The 22102-nt window shown below is 42.2% G+C and overlaps 2 protein-coding genes and 1 long non-coding RNA gene across 7 annotated transcripts in view, besides 7 other annotated features; 2 read left to right on the top strand and 1 right to left on the bottom strand.

Annotated features, from left to right (window-relative positions):
• On the top strand, window positions 67-18006 carry RAB2B (RAB2B, member RAS oncogene family). Of its 5 annotated transcripts, none has more exons than NR_028074.2 (8): window positions 67-199; window positions 427-498; window positions 2092-2159; window positions 8318-8356; window positions 8577-8669; window positions 13259-13370; window positions 14608-14676; window positions 15723-18006. NR_028074.2 is itself a non-coding variant. In NM_032846.4 (8 exons), exons 1-8 carry the CDS (start codon window positions 154-156, stop codon window positions 15828-15830), a joined length of 651 nt encoding a protein of 216 aa, NP_116235.2. In that variant the 5' UTR covers window positions 67-153; the 3' UTR covers window positions 15831-18006. The 5 variants fall into 5 exon arrangements, 4 of the variants coding, with proteins under 4 accessions (NP_116235.2, NP_001156852.1, XP_016877201.1 ...); NM_032846.4 differs by having other exon boundaries at window positions 8274-8356; XM_017021712.2 differs by lacking the exon at window positions 67-199 and adding an exon at window positions 7810-7840.
• Window positions 531-650: an enhancer, noted in NCBI's record as "active region_8107". NCBI's record gives its function as "activates an Ori minimal core promoter by ATAC-STARR-seq in GM12878 lymphoblastoid cells {active_cell/tissue: GM12878}" and the evidence as "EXISTENCE:reporter gene assay evidence [ECO:0000049][PMID:35858748]".
• LOC124903283 (uncharacterized) lies at window positions 11156-20629 on the bottom strand. The gene is made up of 2 exons (XR_007064064.1): window positions 20549-20629; window positions 11156-11509 (listed from the first exon to the last, which is right to left on the bottom strand). It is a non-coding gene; the product is annotated as an uncharacterized LOC124903283 (long non-coding RNA).
• Window positions 19503-20054: an enhancer, noted in NCBI's record as "H3K27ac hESC enhancer chr14:21925131-21925682 (GRCh37/hg19 assembly coordinates)". NCBI's record gives its function as "activates a minimal SCP1, AML or CMV promoter by ChIP-STARR-seq in primed H9 embryonic stem cells {active_cell/tissue: H9 hESC(primed)}" and the evidence as "EXISTENCE:reporter gene assay evidence [ECO:0000049][PMID:30033119]".
• Window positions 20055-20606: an enhancer, noted in NCBI's record as "H3K27ac hESC enhancer chr14:21924579-21925130 (GRCh37/hg19 assembly coordinates)". NCBI's record gives its function as "activates a minimal SCP1, AML or CMV promoter by ChIP-STARR-seq in primed H9 embryonic stem cells {active_cell/tissue: H9 hESC(primed)}" and the evidence as "EXISTENCE:reporter gene assay evidence [ECO:0000049][PMID:30033119]".
• Window positions 20055-21160: a biological region, named in NCBI's record as "H3K27ac hESC enhancer GRCh37_chr14:21924579-21925130".
• Window positions 20331-20380: an enhancer, noted in NCBI's record as "active region_8106". NCBI's record gives its function as "activates an Ori minimal core promoter by ATAC-STARR-seq in GM12878 lymphoblastoid cells {active_cell/tissue: GM12878}" and the evidence as "EXISTENCE:reporter gene assay evidence [ECO:0000049][PMID:35858748]".
• Window positions 20391-20440: an enhancer, noted in NCBI's record as "active region_8105". NCBI's record gives its function as "activates an Ori minimal core promoter by ATAC-STARR-seq in GM12878 lymphoblastoid cells {active_cell/tissue: GM12878}" and the evidence as "EXISTENCE:reporter gene assay evidence [ECO:0000049][PMID:35858748]".
• Window positions 20471-21160: an enhancer, noted in NCBI's record as "active region_8104". NCBI's record gives its function as "activates an Ori minimal core promoter by ATAC-STARR-seq in GM12878 lymphoblastoid cells {active_cell/tissue: GM12878}" and the evidence as "EXISTENCE:reporter gene assay evidence [ECO:0000049][PMID:35858748]".
• CHD8 (chromodomain helicase DNA binding protein 8) overlaps window positions 20903-22102 on the top strand; it is a 70925-nt gene continuing 69725 nt past the window's right edge. The window contains exon 1 of the mRNA NM_001170629.2: window positions 20903-20994. The gene's annotated coding sequence lies outside the window, so the exon portion shown is untranslated. The remainder of the gene's footprint in view (window positions 20995-22102) is intronic.

The following is a 22102-nucleotide window of genomic DNA, read 5'->3' as shown; positions in this document are numbered from 1 at the left end:
AATAGAGACGTGATCTGGGCTAGAGGAGCCGGAGGGGCGGGGGAGCGGGGGGAAGGGGGAGAAGAAGAAGATCGGTAGATTGAGTGGCTAGAGAGGTCGGAGGTAAGTGGCTATAGAAGTCGGGCGGACCCGGAACCCAGAGGACGCGACACCATGACTTATGCTTATCTCTTCAAGTATATCATCATCGGAGACACAGGTAACCCTCAGGTGGTTCGCCTTCAAGGCTCGGGCGGGCATTCGAAGCTCCCAAATTGGGTGGCGGGGGCGGGGCTCACTTTGTGGGCTGGGCGATTCGAGACGGGCGGGGCGGTTCGGGGCGGCCGGGGGCGGGGCTCGGGAGCCCCCCTTCTCTGGTCCGGGAAGTCCATACTCTGGAAGGTGTTCCAGGGCTGCGTGATTCCGGGAGTGTGCTTTCTCTTTCAGGTGTGGGGAAGTCATGTCTCCTCCTGCAGTTTACAGATAAGCGGTTCCAGCCTGTCCACGACCTCACAATAGGTAAGTGCATCTACTTGTTCCAGAACAGATGATAAAACCTGACTAGCTAAATTGCTAAAGTGGAAAGTTAGCAGCCTTCAGTGTTCGAAGTAAAAAGTTACCCCTCACTACTTTAAACTAGTCCAAACTTATGTTAATGAAGTGACCAATGAAACGTTGATATGTGGGGAGTAGTGTAAGGGAGAGTATATAATTGAAAGGTAACTTTTTAGAGTGTGAGGTATAGACTCGTCATATAATTTTTTTTCAAATACAATTTGTATGTTTATGGAAAATCCCACGAAAGCATAACTGCTTATTTATGAACTCATCTGTGCTTTGAGGTAAATTAATACCAGCCTTACTTTTAAAAAGTAAACACCAATACATGGACATTTTTTATATTGGTGAAGAAGCAAATTGAGGAGTCATCCCTGCCTTAGAATTAATAGGCAAATAAAACTAAAAACTTTCCTTTTAAATGAAAGAGTGTGTTAACAGTTCCTCAAACGCACTGGCGATCCTGGAAAATATTAACCTTTCCCACACGTTTGTGATAAGGCATGGCCTGAAGAGGCTTTTAACTACCCCCTCTTCGTTATCTCCGTAACCCCAGTCCAAATAAACAACATATATGAAACTAGCTTTCTTGCCATGCAAATGCAGTTTCTAAATAAACCCCTACATCCCCATTCTTACCATATTGCTACTTCCAAGTCCCACCTGTATGGAAACCTGAAGCTACCACTGTTCCTAACGGATTTATTTAGAGTCAAATAATTGATGGGGTTAGAAAAGGATTTGGCAGTATCAACTAAAAGGTATTTTAAAGGGAATATTGAGCGAATTCTCACTTTGCGATAGGGGCTAATGATACAATGCTTAACAAGGCAACAATGCTTAATTGTGCCTCTGGCAATTATTGGAAATGTAAAATGTATTGTTAAAAAAATTAGGTGGGCGTTGTGGCGTGTGCCTGTAAGGTACTTACTTGGGAGGCTGAGGCAGGAGAATCACTTGAACTCAGGAGGTGGAGGCTGCAGTGAGCTGAGATCGCACCACTGCACTCCAGCCTGGGTGACGGAGCGAGACTCCATCTCAAAAAAAAAAAAAAAAAAGTATTGTTTCTGAGAACCTATTTCTTAGGCTCTTTTCTTAAAGAAAAACATCTGGAATTGCAAAAAAATAAATATTGTTTTAAGTAGAGACTAAAGAGTGACTGAGAAAGTGTCAGGAAATATTTCCAAAATTTTTAGTTTTTTGGAAAAGTTACAAAACTAAATGTTACCTAACCAAATTTAAGCATTAACCTAACATTGCTAAAAAAGTATTCACCTTTTTAAATTTGACTTCTTAATTGGTTTTATTTTCCCATATCTGCTTTTTGGTTACATTCCTGAGGTCATTGAGCACAATTTTTTAATTCTAGAAGGGAAATGAAGAACCTTAAGAAACACAAAATTAATTGGAGCAAATAGGCAGCAATAATGGAATTAGTGGCATTGAGTTCAGACAAAGGATGGTTATAACACATTGAGGAAAGGCAGGAACCTCCCACTCCACGTGGCTGCTGTTCGTGAGAATCACATTCTTTCTCTCGGTCTTTACCGACAGGTGTGGAGTTTGGAGCTCGTATGGTCAACATTGATGGAAAACAAATCAAACTGCAAATCTGGGATACGGTGAGAGTACAAAATAATTTAGTCTCTGACCAATATCCAAGTATAACAAGAAAAGCTGATGCAAAGGAAAGGGGCGATGAGGGTGGAACTAATGGTGGGGATAAAGTAGGGGAAAGGTGAAATCAAAGAGAGAAGTTTTTGATTCTGTTACAGTTACAAATTCTGGATGCTGTATCTTTGTGTTGTAAACGATCCAAGTAATAGTTTATTCTAGTAAAAATAAAATCAAACAATATAAATTTATAGAATAGAAAGTAAATGTCCCCTTTTGATACATAAACTCTTTCTCCCTTCCCATCTTGGTTGGTACTCTAGCAGGGAAATCATTACTGATGATTCCACGTGTATGCTTTCAGACTTTTTCTATGCATTTAGATACATACATGTAAACACATAGAAATATATGGTAGTAGTTTTGTTTTTATTAGTGTTTACATGTATAGAATCGTGACAGAGTAGACCTAGTTGTGTGACTTAGATTGTATATTAAACAATCTCTATGTTGTGGGGACCTTTCCATATCAATACATATAGATCTGTCTCATTCCTTTTAACCACTGCGTAGTCATGGAATGTCAGTAGCATGATTTATGTAACCATCATCCTACTGATAGAAATTTGGGTTGTTTTCCAATTTTTAAGTATTGCAGAATTTCACTGAGCATTCTTTTTTTTGAGACAGAGATTCACTCTTGTCACCCAGGCTGGAATGCAATGGCGTAATCTTGGCTCACCGCGACCTCCACCGCCTGGGTTCAAGCAATTCTCCAGCCTCAGCCTCCTGAGTAGCCGGGATTACAGGCACCCACCACCACACGTGGCTAATGTTTTTTGTATTTTTTGTATTTTTTTTCTGAGACGGAGTCTTACTCTGTTGCCCAGGCTGGAGTGCAGTGGCGTGATCTCAGCTCACTGCAAGCTCCGCCTCCCGGGTTCGTGCCATTCTCCTGTCTCAGCCTCCCGAATAGCTGGGACTACAGGCGCCTGACACCACGCCTGGCTAATTTTTTGTATTTTTAGTAGAGAGGGGGTTTCACCGTGTTAGCCAGCATGGTCTCGATCTCCTGACCTCGTGATCCGCCCGCCTCAGCCTCCCAAAGTGCCGGGATTACAGGTGTGAGCCACCACTCCCGGACGTTTTTTGTATTTTTAATAGAGATGGGGTTTTGCCATGTTGGCCAGGCCGGTGTTGAACTGACCTCAGGTGATCCACCCACCTAGGCCTCTCAAAATGCTGGGATTACAGGCGTGAGCCACAGTGCCCAGCCTGAACATCCTTATTTACAAAGTTTTTATGCCAATGTTTGAGAATTTTTGTGGAATATCTGCCCAGAAATGGAAACTCTGTCAAAAGCTTGTACATATTTTCAAATTTGATACATGTAGTAATGCCAAAATTTAGCTTGGCTTAGTGTAGTTTTGCCCTATCCAGATAAATTGCTTTCATGTGCATTATCTCATTTGATTTGTACATTTTTCCCCCTAAGTAAAATAATACCTTAGTCTCCATTCTAGTTAAAGGGAGCTAGTAAATAGCTAGTAAATAATATTTGGCTAAAATCTCTTACTTTTTTTGCTTACTTCTTACTATGTGATTCTGTTTCTTCTCTGAACTGAGAGCTAAAGCCATTATATCTGCAAACAGTGTACACATTATTTTTCCTTTTTTCTTTTCCTCCCTTTCCTCTCCTTCCCTCCCCAATGCTCCTCACCACACGCAAGTGTATGTCTTAAAAGTAGTTGAAGCTTAAGTTCATCTGTCTATCCATCCATCTATCCGTCTATCTCTACAGATCTATCCCCTGATCCCCTGCACTGGGGAATTTTTGTATTTTTTGTAGAGACGGGGGTTTCAACATGTTTCCCAGGCTGGTCTCGAATTCCTGGACTCAAGTGATCCGCCCTCCTCAGCCTCCCAAAGTGTTGGGATTACAGGCCTGAGCCTTGGCACCTGGCCCAGATGAATGTTTTGATGCTGGGGAAAAAAACCCAATAAGTGCCATTTAATGGAATGGTCATGGCAATGGCCTTTTTTTTTTTTTTTTAAGCACTCATATGGGACATGGTTGGATCATGAAAGTAAGAAAGTTGAGAGCTTGATTCTGCTGAGAATGCATACATAGAAAAACAAACAAAAAAGGAAAGTTGAGAGCCACGACTTTGGACAGAATCCTTAAGAACTACATGGTCATCCAACTGGCCTAGTTCTTTTCTGTTCCCTCTTAAAATTGTCTTGAGATTAATATTTGCTAAATCATAAAAAGGAACCAGTTTCAGAACACTGTGGTTTTCTATATATTTTGAAAATTTTAAAAGATTCATACGTATAATAATGTGTCCATCTAGTCTGTCGCCTTTTGGGTAAGTCTGGTCATTTCTCCGTTGTCAGCCCTGATCTCCTGCCCATTGTTTACCCATCTTAGCTTCCCACTTTATTGACCCATTCTCTCACTTACTTCCAAACCCATCCTACATGAAAATGTTTAGGGATTACTGTGATAGGTATTTTAAAGAGATCAGGTTGTCCAAAGGTTTTTGTTGTCTTTGTTCTGGCATTTATGTGGATTTAGAGAAGCATATTTTAAAAAATCGTGTGTGTGTGTGTATACACGTATTCCTAAATAATCATGCTAATGAATAGGTATTTTACTGTAATATAAAATACTGATCAAATAATATCAAATTGGTTTGTATTTTACTTTGGAATGCAATTAAAATTTTTTTTTCCTTAATAAACCGTTCATTGGAAGGAATGCATTTTGATTCTTAGGAAAATGGTGTATCTGACTTTCTAGGAGTTGATACTTCAAACTGTATATCTTAATATAGTATGATGCTTCCACTTGGGAGAGATTAGAAAGCTATTAATTATCTTATCAAACCTTCATCTAGGCCGGGTGTCGTGGCTCATGCCTGTAATTCCAGCACTTTGGGAGGCTGAGGCAGGCGGATCACCTGAGGTCAGGAGTTTGAGACTAGCCTGGCCAACATGGTGAAACCCCATCTCTACTAAAAATAAAAAAATTAGCCAGGTGTGGTGGCGGGCGCCTGTAATGCCAGCTACTGGGGAGGCTGAGGCAGGAGAATCACTTGAACCTGGGAGGCGGAGGTTGCAGTGAGCCAAGATCATGCCACTGCACTCCAGCCTGGGCAACAGAGCGAGACTCCCTCTCAAAAAAAAAAAAGGAAAAAAAAACCTTCATCTTAGTTCGTTGCTGCTGCATCTTTTCTTTTCTTTTTTTTTTTTTTTTGACAGGGTCTTGCTCTGTCACCCAAGCTGGAGTGCAGTGGCACCATCTCCACTCATTGCACCCTCAACCTCCCCGGCTCAACTAGTCCTCCCACCTCAGCCCCTCAAGTAGCTGGGACTACAGATGTGTGCCATCACACCTGGCTAATTTTTTGTATTTTTTTTAGAGGCGTGGTTTCACCATGTTGCCCAGGCTGGTCTCAAACTCCTGAGCTCAAATGATCTGCCCACCTTGGCCTCCCAAAGTGCTGGGATTATAGGCATGACCCACGGTGCCCAGCCTGCTGCTTCAGATTTTTTTACTGGGGATGGCCAAGGATACCTGAGACTGATATAGACAAGACCAAATTGAACTGCTCACTCTTTCTAGCTTACTGGTTCACAAACTTTGGCTCATGAACTGGAATGAGATGAAGTAGAGTGATTTTTTTTTTTTTTTTAATTTAGACAGAGTCTCACTCTGTTGCCCAGGCTGGAGTGCAATAGCGCCATCTTGGCTTACTGCAGCCTCTGCCTCCCGGGCTCAAGCAGTTCTCCTGCCTTAGCCTCCTGAGTAGCTGGGATTACAGGCGTGCGCCACCACGCCCACCTATTTTTTTTTTTTTTTTTTTTTTTTTTTTTTTGTATTTTTAGCAGAGATGGGGTTTCATCATGTTGGTCAGGCTGGTCTCAAACTCCTGACCTCGTGATCTGCCCGCCTTGGCCTCCCAAAGTGCTGGGATTACAGGCATGAGCCACTGCGCCTGGTGAGTGATTTGATTTTAAAAGGTTTTCTCATGACCCACTGATAGCATTTTCAGCTGCTAAAGATAAATGCTGCCATGTGATTGAACCATCATGTGGGCCTCCCTCAAACTTTCCCTTTTAGTTCTTGGTAGGCTGTGAGGGAAGTAGAGGGAGGCTTACAACCATAGCAGAAGAGGAGAAAAAGTAAGTGCTAAAAGGAAAACAAGACCCAAATAACGTAAGACATTAGGGAGTAAATATAAAACTGTAAGTATTTTTTTAATCTTAAAATATTATTAGTATTATGACAGGGGACTTCAGAATTAGTTTTTATTTTCCGATTCTGATTCTCTAACAGCTATGCAACTCACTCACATGTTTCTATGATTCTTATAGAAAGAGATTCTTCTGTTGTTGGAAAATTAACCTTAGAGTTAGTATACTGGAATTCTCTTCTCACCTACAAACCCCAGTTTAGGTTATATGATATAGTGGCTAAGAGGACAAGTTTTTGTCCTAGGAAGTACTAAGATCCTAAGTTTAAATTATGGCTCTAGCACTTAATAAGCTTTATGATTTGGGGCCGTTTATTAAACTTGTGTGAGCCTCATTTTCCCCATTTTTAAAAGGAAATAATAAGCCAGGCACGGTGGCTCATGCCTGTAATCCCAGCACTTTGGGAGGCCGAGGCGGGTGGGTCATGAGGTCAGGAGTTCAAGACCAGCCTAGCCAACATAGTGAAAACCCATCTCTACCAAAAATACAAAAAAATTAGCCAGGCATGGTGGTGGGCGCCTGTAATCCCAGCTAATTGGGAGGCTGAAGCAAGGAGAATTGCTTGAACCTGGGAGGCGGAGGTTGCAGTGAGCCAAGATTGCGCCACTGCACTCCAGCCCGGGCAACAGAGCGAGACTCCCTCTCAAAAAAAAAAAGAAAAAAAAAAAGGGAATAATAATATCGGCCCCAGGGTTGCTAAGAGAAGTAAATGAAATAATATATGTAATTGTCTCTTAAAGTTCGTAGCACATTTTATATGCCAAAAAGTAGTTTATAGTACTATTGCAGTGTTATAATTAGTGTTACCACTGTTACTGGTATTATACTATGAGAAAGCCATTTATTTTCCCACATCCTTAATCATGATTCTCCCATTTGTAACCTATAAATTATAGTCTTACCTCCTGTTATGTAGGGATGTAAGGATAAATTATTTCAAGAATGTGAAAACTTTCTTAATAGGATAGATTCAATGTACAGGGTATTCATATTATTTAAAAAATGTTTTTGTTTTCCCTAAAGGAAAAAAAAAGAACTAGTCCATCAAGAAAGCAAAAGTACCCAGTATTATGGGGGCATTAATAAATTACTCAGTTTTAAATAGAACTTAATATCTTTGTCCAACTGGAAATGAGATTAGAGTGTGAACATTTGGATTTTTCTAGGAAAACTCTATGCTGGGCCCTGGGCTTCTTTCTCTGTTTGTTATTCCTATTTCCCATGACAGAAGCCCAGCAAGGGACATCTAGGTAGTCTTGCATTATCAGTGGAACACTAAAGGTCAGTTAGAAGATAATCAGTTGAAGTGCTTTTAATCTAATTTTTATATTGATTCATTGGAATGAAATTTCTATTAGACCAGGTTTTGGCATTCTAAGATAACTTTCCTTTTTACAGATAAAGAAATGGGAACAGAAAGATTAATATGGTGTGTTCAATATCATATTTGGGATTGAAAAAAATGACATACACTCCGTTTCCAGTCCTATTTCCAGTTGTTCTTTTATGAGGATATTGGGAAATGTATGCAAATGTCTTCATCGTCTTTATCGTGCTGACTGGGGTGCCACAGGTATTTAGTGACTGGGATCTAGGATGCTAAACATCCACTAATCTGATGGACAGTCTCTCAGGAAGAGTAAGTGACTGCCCAAAATATCAATGCACTCCCATAGAAAAATATTGATTTCCCACTTGGGTTTCTTCTCGGGCAGGCATGTTTTCTTTCCCTAATTCTCTTTTCGTAATAGAAATTCTTTTTTTAGTTAAGTCCTTTGTATTAGGGTGGCATGTGATCAAGTCGGTTCTGTGGAAATAACCTGGTTTTGTTGGGATTTTTTGTTGCCATGTTGGTGGGAAAGGCTGGGCAAGAATCCTTCCGTTCTATCACCCGTTCCTACTACAGGGGAGCAGCTGGAGCACTGCTGGTGTACGACATTACAAGGTGAGCCAGATCTGGTGCATGGGAGGGAGATTCTTCCCTAAATCCTCTAAAGCTTTTTTTTTTTTTCTATCTACTGATTCTGTTAAGGATGTTAACTAGGAATGGCCTCTCTAATATTTTTCTTTACACGTATGGCTTCCCCTCTTTTCGTATACGCTTGGAGTTGTTTTGGCCTTTTGAAATGTGTCTCTGACCCACATTCTAAATTTTTCTGCTGTAGGCGTGAAACCTTCAACCACCTGACCTCATGGTTAGAGGATGCCCGGCAGCACTCTAGTTCCAACATGGTTATCATGCTCATTGGGAATAAGAGGTAAAATTGTATCCATGTGAATAATAGTTAACAGGAGTCATCTAGGTACTCTATGCACATTGATCCCCAAACTTTCTCAGTTTATAGTGGTCTTAGTGTTTCAGTAAAAAAAAAAAATTTTGTTGTGATAAAATATATATGACACAAAATTTACCATTTTAACTATTTTTAAGCATACAGTCCTGTAGCATTAAGAATATCCATTGTTCCACAGCCATCACCAACATCCATCTCCAGAACTTTTTCATCTTCTCAAACTCTATACACATTCAACACTAACTCTCCATCTTCCCTCCCCCATCCCCCTCATCCCTCAGCCCCTGACAGCCATCATTCTACTTTATGAATTTGACTACTACTGGTACCTCATACAAGTAGACTCATGTAATATTTGTGCTTTTGTGACTGGCTTATTTCACTTAGCATAATGTCTTCGAGGTTTATCCATATTGTAGCATGTGTCAGAATTTCCTTCCTTTTTAAAGATGAGTAATATTCATTGTATGCATATACCACAATATTTTGTTTATCCATCTGTCCATGGACACTTGGGTTGCTGCCATCCTTTGACTATTGTGAATAATGCTGCTATGAACATGGATCTGTTCAAGTCCCAGCTCTGAATTCTTTTGGGTATATGCCCAGAAGTGGGATTGCTGGATCATATGGTAATTCTTTTATTTTTTGAAGAACCACCATACCATTTTCCATAGCAGCTGTCTCATTTTACATTCTTTCCAGCAATGTACAAGGATTCCAGTTTCTCTACATCCTTAACAACACTGGTTATTATCAGTAAATTTTTTTTGACACCCATAGGCCAAAAGAAATACCTAATAGTTTTGTTAAATAGTTATACCCAAACAACATGAGTATTTTTTATAACCGCTTAGTAACTGTTTGAAAATAAAAAGGCCAGGCGCAGTGGCGTATGCCTGTAATCCCAGCTCTGGAAGGATTGCTTGAGTCCATAAGTTCAAGACCAGCCTGGGCAACATAGTGAGACCTTGTTTATACAAAAAAATTTTTAAATGAGGTGGGAGGATCACTTGGGCCTGTGAGGTCGAGGCTGCAATGAAGCTGTAATTGTACCACTGCACTCCTGCCTCAGCAACAGGAGTGAGACCCTATATAAAAAAAAGAAAAAATATGCCAGGCGTGGTGGCTCAAGCCCGTAATCCTAGCACTTTGGGAGGCCGAGGTGGGTAGATTAGAAAGTCAGGAGTTCAAGACCAGCCTGGCCAATATGGTGAAACCCCGTCTGTACTGAAAAAATACAAAAAGTAGCCAGGCGTGGTGGCACGCACCTCTAGTCCCAGCTATTTGGGAGCTTGAGGCAGGAGAATTGCTTGAACTCGGGAGGCGGAGGTTGCAGTGAGCTGAGATAGTGCCACTGCACTCCAGCCAGGGCGACAGAGTGAGACTTTGTCTCAAAAAAAAAAAAATTATTTCATTCTTAAATAGCAACAGTTACTTACTAAAGACCTCTATGTGTCTGTTGGGCACTGCATAGCTTCTCAAACCTTGGAATCACGATTGCACACTGCTACTCTCATTTCCCATTTCATATTGATTTTTGTGTAGTGCTTGCTTTTTTATAACAGCAACTGCCAGAAACAGCTTCTCAGAGATATGAAGATATTGAACGAATTTTATCATGGTCTGATATTGACATTGCAACTGTCTTAAGCTTGTAATTCATGTAGTAAGTATCCTTGTGTTGAGTGTTACTGTGTTTTTCTCAAAAGTTTGAGGTATCCCATGGCACCCTTGTGAGTTTGTAGTAGTGCCCAGAGTGTACTATTTGAGAACTGTGGCCACAGGCTAATTGGTTTTTTGTTTGTTTGTTTGTTTTCATTTGTTTGTTATGAGATGGAGTTTCACTCTTGTCACCCAGGCTAGAGCACAATGGCATGATCTCGTCTTACTGCAACCTCCACCTCCTGGGTTCAAGCGATTCTCCTGCCTCAGTCTCCCGAGTAGCTGGGATTACAGGCATGTGCCACCAAGCCCAGTTAATTTTTTTGTATTTTTAGTATAGACGGGGTTTCTCCATGTTGATCAGGCTGGTCTTGAACTCCTGACCTCAGGCGATCCGCCTGCCTCGGCCTCCCAAAGTGCTGGGATTACAGGCGTGAGCCACCACACCCATCCTGCTAATTATTTTTAGTGTATCAGTCAATGTATTGAAAACGACTGTGCCAGATTCTGAGTTTGCAAGGTGGAAAAAAGTCGTCCCCCTGCTCTTGTGCAGCTTACAGTCTAGTGGGGGCATAGATGTTAAATATAAAATTATTTGTATCAAATTGTAAATTGTGATAAATGCAATGGAGGAAAAAGGGTGCTACGAAAGAATAACAGGGTACCTACTTTTGATTAGGAGTGATATTAAGCTGGGATCTGAAGGATGGGCAAGAGCCTGCTGGGCAAAGATTTTTTTAAAAGGGTATTACTTGGGGGGAACAAACTATACAAACACCTTGAACTTGGAAGAAGCTTGACACGTTTATTGAAAGAAACCTAGTGTGATTGGACTAAATCAAGAGGGAATAGTGCAAGATGAGGTTGGAAAAGTAGGTAGGGACCAGATTTTATAGCACCTTAGAGGCCTGAGTAAGGGTTTTGGATTTTATTCTAAATACATGGAAATTGAAGCTTGGGAGATGGGGGATTAAAAATAATAATAAATAAATACACCTGAAGCATTTTAAAGTTTTAAGTAGAGAAGTGGCTTGATCAGATTTTAAAAGATCACTCTGGAGGAGAACAAGGACTGAAGTAGTATCCCAGTTGCAATAGTCCACATGAGAAAGAATGGTAGCTTGGTCTAGGAAGTGACCCTGGAAAGAGAAAGAAAGGATAATTTTAAGGTACATATTGGAAGTACTTCACTTTGGAATGGATTAGATATTTGGAGTAGGGAGCAAAGGGTATCAATAATAACACTTTGGTTTTTGGCTTATGCCATTTACTGAGATACAGAAGCCTGCAGCAAACACAGGCTAGGGGAAAAGAAGTTCCATTTTGATGTGTTAAGTTTGAAGTCCGTTTTATGTATCAGTGTGGAAATGAAGAATTCACAAATGTACAAATCTGGTGCTTAGTCAAGCATCTGGGCTAGAGGTACAAATTTGGGAGGGTTGACATTTAGATCTTCCCTGGTCTTCACACAGCTGATGGTATAATAAATTAAAATATTGTAGATTTGTTGTTCTTTAATGGTCTTACACTTTTTTTCCAAGGAGTTGGAAAACTGGAAACCTCCCAAATGAAAATTTTCAAATTGAAAAATACGAATCACAAACAGCCCAACCTTGCCTTATTCTTCAGTTTGTTTTTTTGGTTTTGTTTTTTTTTTGCGACAAGGTCTCGTGCTGTTGCCCAGGCTGGAGTACAGTAACGTGCTCAGCTCACGGCAACCTGTTTCCAGGGCTCAAGAGATCCTCTCACCTCAGCCTCTCACGTAGCTGGGACTACAGGCATGTGTCACCACGCTCTGCTGATTTTTAAATTTTTGTAGAGACAGGGTCTCACTGTATTGTGCAGGCTGTTCTTAAACTCCTGGGCTCAAGTAATCCTCCTGCCTCAGCCTCCCACAGTGCTGGGATTATAGGCATGAGCCACCACGCCCAGCTCTGCAGCCTTTTATCCTGTTTTTCATAAGGTCTTTTGTTGCCATTTTTATTCCCTTTTTCAGTCCTTAGCTCTTATCTTTTTTTTCACCTAATTTTATCCATATCACTGTCTCTGAATTCCCTGGTGGCAAGCTGCTTTTATATGCACTAGTAACGAAACCAGTGAGACTTAAGACAACTGTGTTTTCCTTATTCCTGGCTCATTCTCTTCTTGTGGCTTGATTCCAGTAAAAAAGGAAGATGCTCATCACTGCTGGATGGGACATCTTATGACTTTTCTGCTTTCTAGTAACTAGAGTTTTCCTTTTTTTCTTCCCCGCCCAAGAGACAGTCTTGCTCTGTCGCTGAGGCTGGAGTGCAATGGCGCGATCTCAGTTTACTGCAACTTCCGCCTCCCATGTTCAAGCAATTCTCTTGCCTCAGCCTCCCGAGTAGCTGGGATTACAGGCACCTGCCACCATACTCAGCTAATTTTTGTATTTTTAGTAGAGACGGGATTTCACCATCTTGGCCAGGCTGGTCTTGAACTCCTGAACTCGTGATCCACCTGCCTCGGCATCCCAAAGAGCTGGGATTACAGGCATGAGCCACTGTGCCCAGCCAAGTTTTTTTTTTTCCTCATCTATACTTTGCTCTCCTTGATCTCATTGGAAAAACAAGCAATAGAGCATAAGCTTTGTGTAACTATGGGGGCTTGCCTAACCCTTGATAAGCCATTTTCTCTGTAATAGAGTGAGGTATTATCTTCAACTATGCAGCAGCTGTCCCAAAACTAAAGAATATTTTCCAAGATGCTACAAAAATCAGTAACTCTGTATAAGAGTATCATGTAGGATCTACATTCTTTATGAAATAACTGGCAGTTGAAACCACGACGGAATTCTTTTAGAAATAGACTTTCCTCTTTCACTTGGATCTTTTTTTTAAATTTTCTCCTTAATTAATCTCTTGCAGTGACCTAGAGTCCCGCAGGGATGTGAAGAGAGAAGAAGGAGAGGCCTTTGCTAGGGAGCATGGACTTATATTCATGGAAACTTCAGCCAAAACAGCCTGCAATGTTGAAGAGGTACTATTTGGAAAACAGTGGGGAAAGCTCTTTAGAGATTACACCATTATTTGTCCTTGTATTCAGAATTCTCTTCTCCTATAAGAAATTGGTAAAGAAAGGATGTCTTGGCCGAGCGCGGTGGCTCATGCCTGTAATCCTAGCGTTTTGGGAGGCCAAGGCAGGCAGATTGCGTGAGCTCAGGAGTTTGTGACCAGCCTGGGCAATATGGTGAAACCCCATCTCTACTAAAATACAAAAAACTAGCTGGTCATGGCGGCGTGTGTCTGTAGTCCCAGTTACTCGGGAGGCTGAGACAGGAGAATTGCTTGAACCCAGGAGGCGGAGGTTGTAGTGAACTGAGATCCCGCCACTGCACTCCAGCCTAGGCAACAGAGCAAAACTCCATCTCCAAAAAAAAAAAAAAAGAAAGAATGTCTTCTGATCGTAGTGACTACATGTCTCATTCCTTTTAAAGGAATTGTCCCATTTTCTTTTACCCTGATTCCCAAGGTTTTACTTTTGCTTTGGGTAACATTAGTTGGCAAGTGTGGATTAGACACCACACTTGTTACTAGTAAATCACTCTGGTTGGAGTGTCTAATGGGTTCTACTGTAGTCATTCCTAGGCCTGGTGTTGATGGTATCTTCGGTAACCAGTGGAGAATAGAGTATGTTTGTTTTATTTGTGGAAGGTGCCAGCCTAGGAACATCTTGGGTCAGTACCAGAATACCCCATAATCCTTTTGTGTTTGAAACTACTCTTAATGGCTTTTACAAGGACATTTGGGGGACCTTCTATGTTTTTTTTCTTTTTTGATTTTTTTTTTTTTTTTTTTTAGACTGAGTCTCGTTCTGTCACCCAGGCTGGAGTGCAGTGGTGCGATCTCAGCTCACTGCAACCTGCGCTCCTGGGTTTAAGCGATTTTCGTGCCTTGGCCCCCGAGTAACTGGAATTACAGGCATGCGCCACCACGCCCGGCTGATTTTTGTATTTTTAGTGGAGACGGGATTTCACCATGTTGGGCAGGCTGGTCTCGAACTCCTGACCTCAAGTGACTTGCCCGCCTCGGCCTCCCAAAGTGCTGGGATTACAGGCATGAGCCACCGCACCCAACCGACCTTCTATGTTTTTTACTGTCTTCTAATGGTTCCTAATTCACCTTAGAAATTCAAATATGAATAATAATTAATATTCTCTTTCCCTCATTTCTCTACCTGAACTTGAGACTGATGATACGATTTATGTCTCTTTCAGGCCTTCATTAACACAGCCAAAGAAATATATAGGAAGATCCAGCAGGGTTTATTTGATGTCCACAATGAGGTAAGAAAGGGTAGAAGTGCTGGCAGTTAACTTTGGCTTGTTCTGAATACAACTGGAGGTTCCCTAGAATGGAATGCTTACATTCCCCATCTATCATTATACAATTTAAAAGCTCTGCCAATTCAACACTTTTTTTTTTTTTTTTTTAAATCTAGGTACACAGAGACCTGTCATCATTTTCTGTTTTTCTCAAGTCTGACACTCAGAATGCTTAAAGAGATTATTGGTGATTTAAAAGACTTACACAATATGGGAGATTTTCTTGTCAACCTCAGTTTTTTACTATTCTAGAACGTAAGGGAGGTATAATTCATAATTGCTTAGGAGAGTAATTTCTATAAAGTAAATTCTGGAACAAGACAAAAAGAATCATATGCTACTTCTGCACTTTGCCGCCTCCACTTCTACCTCGTCACACCCTGATTCTGCACGTAGCTATGACATTTAAGTATAACATTGTCCCTTAAAAATGAGCACAGGGGCCAGGTGTGGCGGCTCATGCTTATAATCTCAGCACTTGGAGAGGCTGAGCTGGGGAGATTGCTTGAAGCCAGGACTTTGAGACCGGCCTGGGCAACAAAGAGAGACTCCGTCTCTAAAATGAGCACAGGGGTGCAGTGGCGCACCCATAGTCTCAGCTACTTGGGAGGCTGAGGCAGGATCACTTGAGGCCAGAAGTTTGAGGCTATAGTGCACACTGATCATACTGTGAATAGCCACTGCACTGCAGCCTGGGCAACATAGGGAGACCTCATTTCCTCAAGGAAAAAAAAAGTGCACAAAAGCCACTGTAGTCAACTAGGATATTTAGACCACAGGTAGTCATCTTATTCTTACTGTCACAGATTATTGTTCCACATCAGCGTGGCTAGGGCATCTGGTTACCTGCCAAGGTCAAATCTGCTTTTAGAAAATATAATTAATGATTTCTCCTTTCTCCCCTTTCTGTTTTCTTTCTACCCTGGGATACAAGCAGAGATAGCCCCCTCCTGTCTCTCATTCACTTTAACACTGAGGTGGGAACTATTGCCTCTTTTCTTTTACAGGCAAATGGCATCAAGATTGGGCCCCAACAGTCAATTTCAACATCAGTGGGACCCAGTGCCTCCCAGCGGAACTCTCGTGACATAGGGTCCAACTCTGGCTGCTGCTGAACATCTGGCTTGAACTTTTTTTGTCCTTCCTGGAATAGCTTCAGATCAATAGGCTTAATGAAAGAGGTCTTTCTTGCTTTGGCTGAGAGCAGCCTCTTTTTAAAGTGTGATGTTTTGCCTTTCCACCTAAAGACCAGGAGAGAATTTGGGCCCTTACTGACCTGTCCTCCTTCAGGGACATGAGCATTCCCTATAGATTAGGGTTCTTCTTATCCTCCTATACAAATTTCTTAAATTGTTAGGATCAAAGTTGATTATCACAGTAGTTAAAAAATAATTTCATGGCGGGGCGCCATGGCTCATGCCTGTAATCCTAGCACTTTGGGAGGCCAAGGTGGGCAGATCACCTGAGGTCAAGAGTTCGAGACCAGCCTGACCAACTTGGAGAAATGCCATCTCAACTGAAAATACAAAATTAGCTGGGTGTGGTGGTGCATGCCTGTAATCCCAGGTACTCGGGAGGCCAAGGCAGGAGAATCGCTTGAACCCAGGAGGTGAAGGTTACGCTAAGCCAAGATCACGCCATTGCACTGCAGCCTGGGCAACAAGAGCAAAACTCTGTCTCAAATAAATAAATAATTTTTTTTTTCTTTTTTTTTTTTTTTTTTTGGGGGGATGGAGTCTCACTCTGTCTCCAGGCTGGAGTGCAGTGGCATGATCTTGGCTCACTGCAACCTCCACTTTCCAGGTTCAAGCAGTTCTCCTGCCTCAACCTCCCGAGTAGCTGGGACTACAGGCATGTGCCACCACACCTGGCTCATTTTTGTATTTTTAGTAGAGACAGGGTTTCACCATGTTGGCCAGGATGGTCTTGATCTCTTGACCTCGTGATCCGCCCACCTTGGCCTCCCAAAGTGCTGGATTACAGGTGTGAGCCACCGTGCCTGGCCTAAATAAATAATTTCGTAAGCATATACAATCCACTTCCCACTAAGAATTAGGGTCAAAGACATTCTATTTGAACACTTGCAATTACCTAGATCTAGTTGGCCTTTGGTTGATAGATCCTCTGCCTCGGAATTTCATTGAGTTTTTTTCTTCCTTGCCTTTGGGTGTCTGCTTGCCACTTCCTAAGAATTCTTGTAGAAGGCAGTTTCCTCTACTTGCCCAAGAGCACTGAGTACTTCTCTACTATCCTATTATTAGCTTCTATCTCTTAGTGTAACTTCAAAACTTTTAAGAGCAGTGAAGTTGGTCAGGGACATGTGGCCACTTATTATTACCTAAAGAAAACATTTGTTCCCTGTTCATTTTATTTTAGGGGCCAGATCTAACATTGTAGTGTCTTTCACCAGATAGACTTCTACTGTTTCATCAAACTCCCTTCTTAACTAGACCTAGACTTTCTACTCCAATCAGGCTAATCTACTTACTGAATGTGACATATTTATTCCTAGTTCCATACCTTTGCACATGCCCTACTCTCCACTAATTATACTTAAAAGTCCAAAAATTTTTTCTTTAGTAACAGACTTAGGTACTGCTAAGCAGTTATTAACACAATATTCCTTAGTTTTCATATGTTGGTTATTCATATGTCTATTTATATGTATATTTATTTTTATGTATGTTACTATGTAAATATGGTTTGCAGTTGTTTTTGTGTGGAATCTTGTCTTTCCGTATAAGTTGTAAGCTCCTTGAGAGCAGGATCCATGTCATTCCTTTATTTTTATAAATTATTCCCCCTATCATTCCTTTACAGTGCCTAGTGCTACTCATTATGTGTTCATTGAATTTGACTGACATAGTTAAAAACTTAAGGTTTATTTTAGACTTTCAAGGAAACAAAAGACTTTAGAGTCCTCTCTCTGTAATTCTGCCCCACTCATTTGTTTACCCTGGGTTTTATACAGTTCTCTTCCTTCTCCCCTCCCACCTTTCCCTGGCTTTTTGCCTCCATTCCATGAGGCATACAGTAAGGCTGCCTGCTAGTAAGCAGTCACATAAGTGGGTACCTATCCAGCCATTCTCTTTTCAGAGCATATAATACTATCTTAGCCAAACTTGCCTTTGCTTCACTCATCATGCAGCCTTCTGGGTTGGTTGCTATATATATCTTTTTTCCTTGATGTCCCGTTCTCTTCCACAGCCCTGAGGTCTTACGAATTTTTCTACTTTCTTTTTGCTGTTGATGAATTGTTTCATTATTAAATATATGCATGTATCAAAGCTATTCATACTCCATGTGTCATTTCTAATTGTATCCCAAACATTAGTAGATACTCTCCTCTCAGGGAATTAAATCAAAGATAATGAAGAAGCCTCTTTGGGATTCATGCTATACTCGATTCTGACCCCAGTAGTAGTAGTAATAGTTGACAGTGCACCACAGGAAGTTGGAAGACATTTGGGGTATTGCTTTGGTTATGCTTTTGTTTTGTTTTTAAAATCCTATCTGATTCCAAAAAGGATTTGAAGCTGTTGAACTTGGAGTTAGCCTGCCCCCTTACCTCTGGGCGAAAACTAAAGTAATAAAAACTAGTTTCTGTACAGAAGGTTTTTTTTTTGTTTTTTTTTTTTTTACTACCCAAAAAAACAATCTTTAGCAATTGAGAAGCATTAGAGGATTGGTCAAAGACAGCATTCTGCCTAGAGCTACTGCTTTCAGAGTCAATAAAGGATACCATTTTGATATTTTGGAGCACAGTTTTTTAATATTAATGCCCATATCTTGTTCTATTAACCAAGCCGACTTATGACCTTCTGTACTTGGGTATTGCACCAATTGTAAGGGAAGCATGAGAAAAAAAAGTATCTGGGCAAAATCATCTGTATTCTGAGTGAAGTGGTCATGAAGAATTATAAAAAGTGGATATGCCACCCCATATGAAGAATGGTAGTTATGAAATAATGTCCACTTTTTTTTTTTTTCCATCTATAGTCTTACCAATGTCCATTGGTTTTTGAAGGCCAAGACCATTGGAAATCATACTAAGATCAGTGTAGGTACCAGAAATTGGTTCAGGCACACCTGTTCCCATTTCCATAATATCTATAGCTCCTTTGATGACAGGTCTATTCTGTACCAGATGGATAATAGGCTCTCATCCTAGAAACTATTAATAATTAAGGTTATATCTGTATATGCATTTACAGACAAACACATTGTTCTGATAAATCTTAATACTAACATCAAATTGATATAATGGCAGCAGTAGCCAGGAGAGAATTTGGTTGACAGATTTTTTTTTTTTTTTTTTTTGAGACAGAGTTTCCCGCTTGTTGCCCAGGCTGGAGTGCAATGGCATGATCTAGGCTCACCACAACCTCCGCCTCCCGAGTTCAAGTGATTTTCCTGCCTCAGCCTCCTGAGTAGCTGGGGTTACAGGCATGCACCACCACACCCAGCTACTTTTGTATTTTTAGTAGAGACGGGGTTTCTCCATGTTGGTCAGGCTGGTCTTGAACTCCGGACCTTAGGTGATCCACCCGCCTCGGCCTCCCAAAGTGCTGGGATTACAGGCGTGAGCTACCGCGCCTGTCTTGGCTGACAGATTTTGATACACAGGGAAATGTATTTGGCCAAGTCTTTTTTTTTTTTTTTTTTTTTTTTTTTTTTTTTTTGAGATGGAATTTCGCTCTTGTTGCCCAGGCTGGAGTGCAGTGGTGAGATCTTGGCTCACCACAACCTCCGCCTCCTGGGTTCAAGCGATTCTCCTGCCTCAGCCTCCCGAGTAGCTGGGATTATGGGTGTCTGCCACCACGCCCGGCTAATTTTTTTTTGTATCTTTACTAGAGACGGGGTTTCACTATGTTGGCCAGGCTGCTCTCGAACTCCTGACCTCAGGCGATCCACCCGCCTCAGCCTCCCAAAGTGCTGGGATTACAGGCGTGAGCCACTGCGCCCAGCTTAAGGCCGAGTCTTATCACTCATATGACTTCTTGATGTCTCTGAGCTCCTATCATGTAAGACCATGCAATTATGTTACTCCTTGAGAAATTCCTTTAATAATCTGGAAGGATTCCCTCACTCACAACTTTAAAAAAGATTTCTTGGCCAGGAATGGTGGCTCATGTCTGTAATCCCAGCACTTTGGGAGGCCGAGGTGGGCGGATCACTTGAGGTCTGGAGTTCGAAACCAGCCTGACCAACATGGCGAAACCCCGTCTCTACTAAAAATACAAAAATTAGCTGGGCGTGGTGGCGGGAGCCTGTAGTCTCAGCTACTCAGGAAGCTGAGACAGGAGAATTGCTTGAACCCGGGAGGCAGAGGTTGCAGTGAGCCGAGATCGCCCCACTGCACTCCAGCCTGGGTGACCGAGCGAGACTCCATCTCAAAAAAAAAAAAAAAAATTAGGCCTTTAAAAAAAAAAAGGAATTCCTCCTTAAGTCCTGTTCTTGATTTCCAACTGATTCACAGTGCCCCTACTGGAAAATTTGCAGTGAATCCTAAAGCTTAGTAGCACCTATAATAGATACATGTCCTGATATTTTGAGTGAGGTGTCCATAAAGGATTACCCTAGGAAAGTGCAACTTTCACTCTCATTAGAAGAATTAATTTTTGCTTATTTGATTTGTTAAAATTGCTTTACTCCTACAGTTAAGTGAGAGGGTGGTGGTGGTTGTTGCCCGTAACCACATACGGCATTACTCCAGGGTTTCACGTCGTGACTGAGGGGCCTCCTAAGTGTATACAGCAGAGTATGTTCGGGCTGGACCTAGATAGTCGGACAGAACACCGACAGGGTCTTCACATTCTTTAAGCACTCTCACCCAGTCCCGGAGTCCGAGCCAAGATGGCTTCCCAGAAGTAGGTAACTAAGTGTTGTTTTAGTTCACAGCGCCCCCAATGGCGGGGGTCAAAAAAAGATGCCGAGGGGCCTGGCCGCCTGTGAACTGAGTCGTCAGAGGCGAGCCGCCGCCAGATTTTATTTTCAATCAGGCATATTTGTGGTCGCCTACGTACCCTTCTCATCCTCCTAGGACCTTCCACCCTCAAGAGACTTCCTGGATGGCGCTCACACTAGCTCGCTGGAAGAGGCCGGGCTTCGGTGCTGCCATTGGCGGATGGGAGCGCAGGGGGGCGGAGCCTAGGGAGAATGGACTACTAGCAAGCTAGATTGAGGCGAGGGCTGGCCATGCTCCGCCGGAAGGCGCCTTGTTCTCGGAGAGGGTGAGTTGAAACGCTGCCTGGAAAGGAAGTACCAGGACTTGCACAGGTAGGCTTCCCGCTCGCACCCGCTCCTCAGTGCTGGGCCAGGAGTCAGCAAAAGCTGAGGCTCTCAGAGATTTGATTTAAGTAACTCCTTCTCCTCTCTCTTCCACCCCCTGCTCGCCCCCCAGTTGTGAGGGATCAGGTGCGGGGTGATGCTCCGGACTGAACCAGTCTCCTTTGTGAGAGGCCGGGGGAGAGGGTGGCTGCCGGGCCGCGGGGTCCGAGCCGGGCCGAGCCGCGAGGGACTGCTTGGGACGCTGTGGAGTTTTCAGGGCTTGTCATTGCATTACTGGGCGTAGTGTAGATTGGAGGCGGCGCCTTGTTCTCCTCTCTTCAGAGAAGGGAAAACTCCTCGGCCCCGTTTGGTTACTCCATACTTTGGATTCAGAAATAGGTGGTTAGGGTTTTCTACTTCTTTTTATTTTTTTTTCTTCTGTATTTTAATAATAAAGGTGGGTAGGAAAGCATGGGGTAAGCGTAAGCAGATTGTTACTCATTCTCAGGTGTAAGTTCTGTGGGTCTCCTGGCAGTGAAGAGCAGGCTGTTGGAGAATGTTTAGAGATGGTGGGAAGAGAGGAGCTCAAGCCTTGCATCCTCCTTGACAGGTCTGCAGAGCTCACTGGTTTTCCGTTGCATTATGTAAACTCGTCACTGATAGAAGACCCTTCCCCCTGCTTTGGAACGAATGCAGTTTATTTACCTGTCTCTAGTGTCGCAGGGAATTTCCCTGCAGCAGCTGTATAAATGCAGCAGCCTCTTGCTTTTTAAGGGACAGTCTTGAAGCGGTTAGGGTCTTCACAGAAAAGGTATATAGTGGACCCATCTCTTTCGTATGGCTAAGCAAAGTGAGCCAGAAGTCAAAGATTTAGAACTCTGTCTTTTTCTATTAAAGAATAAACAGCGGAGCGCCCCAAACACAAGCCAGGGGAGCTGCCTTATCAGTGTCTGCTGCATCCTACCATCACAGCGGCGTCTACAGATCGTTTCATCTCCATGCTTTTCTGAGTTTGTCGACTCAGTCAAGGATTCTCAGCCTAGGTTAGCATATGCTGAAGTCATCTGGTGTGGGGCACATTACATATCGAAAGTGAGTTTGTGATTTGAATCGTGTC

Source organism: Homo sapiens, chromosome 14 (genome assembly GCF_000001405.40).
Source record: "Homo sapiens chromosome 14, GRCh38.p14 Primary Assembly".
NCBI classification, from domain to species: domain Eukaryota; kingdom Metazoa; phylum Chordata; class Mammalia; order Primates; family Hominidae; genus Homo; species Homo sapiens.
This window is presented reverse-complemented; position numbering and strand designations above follow the sequence as displayed.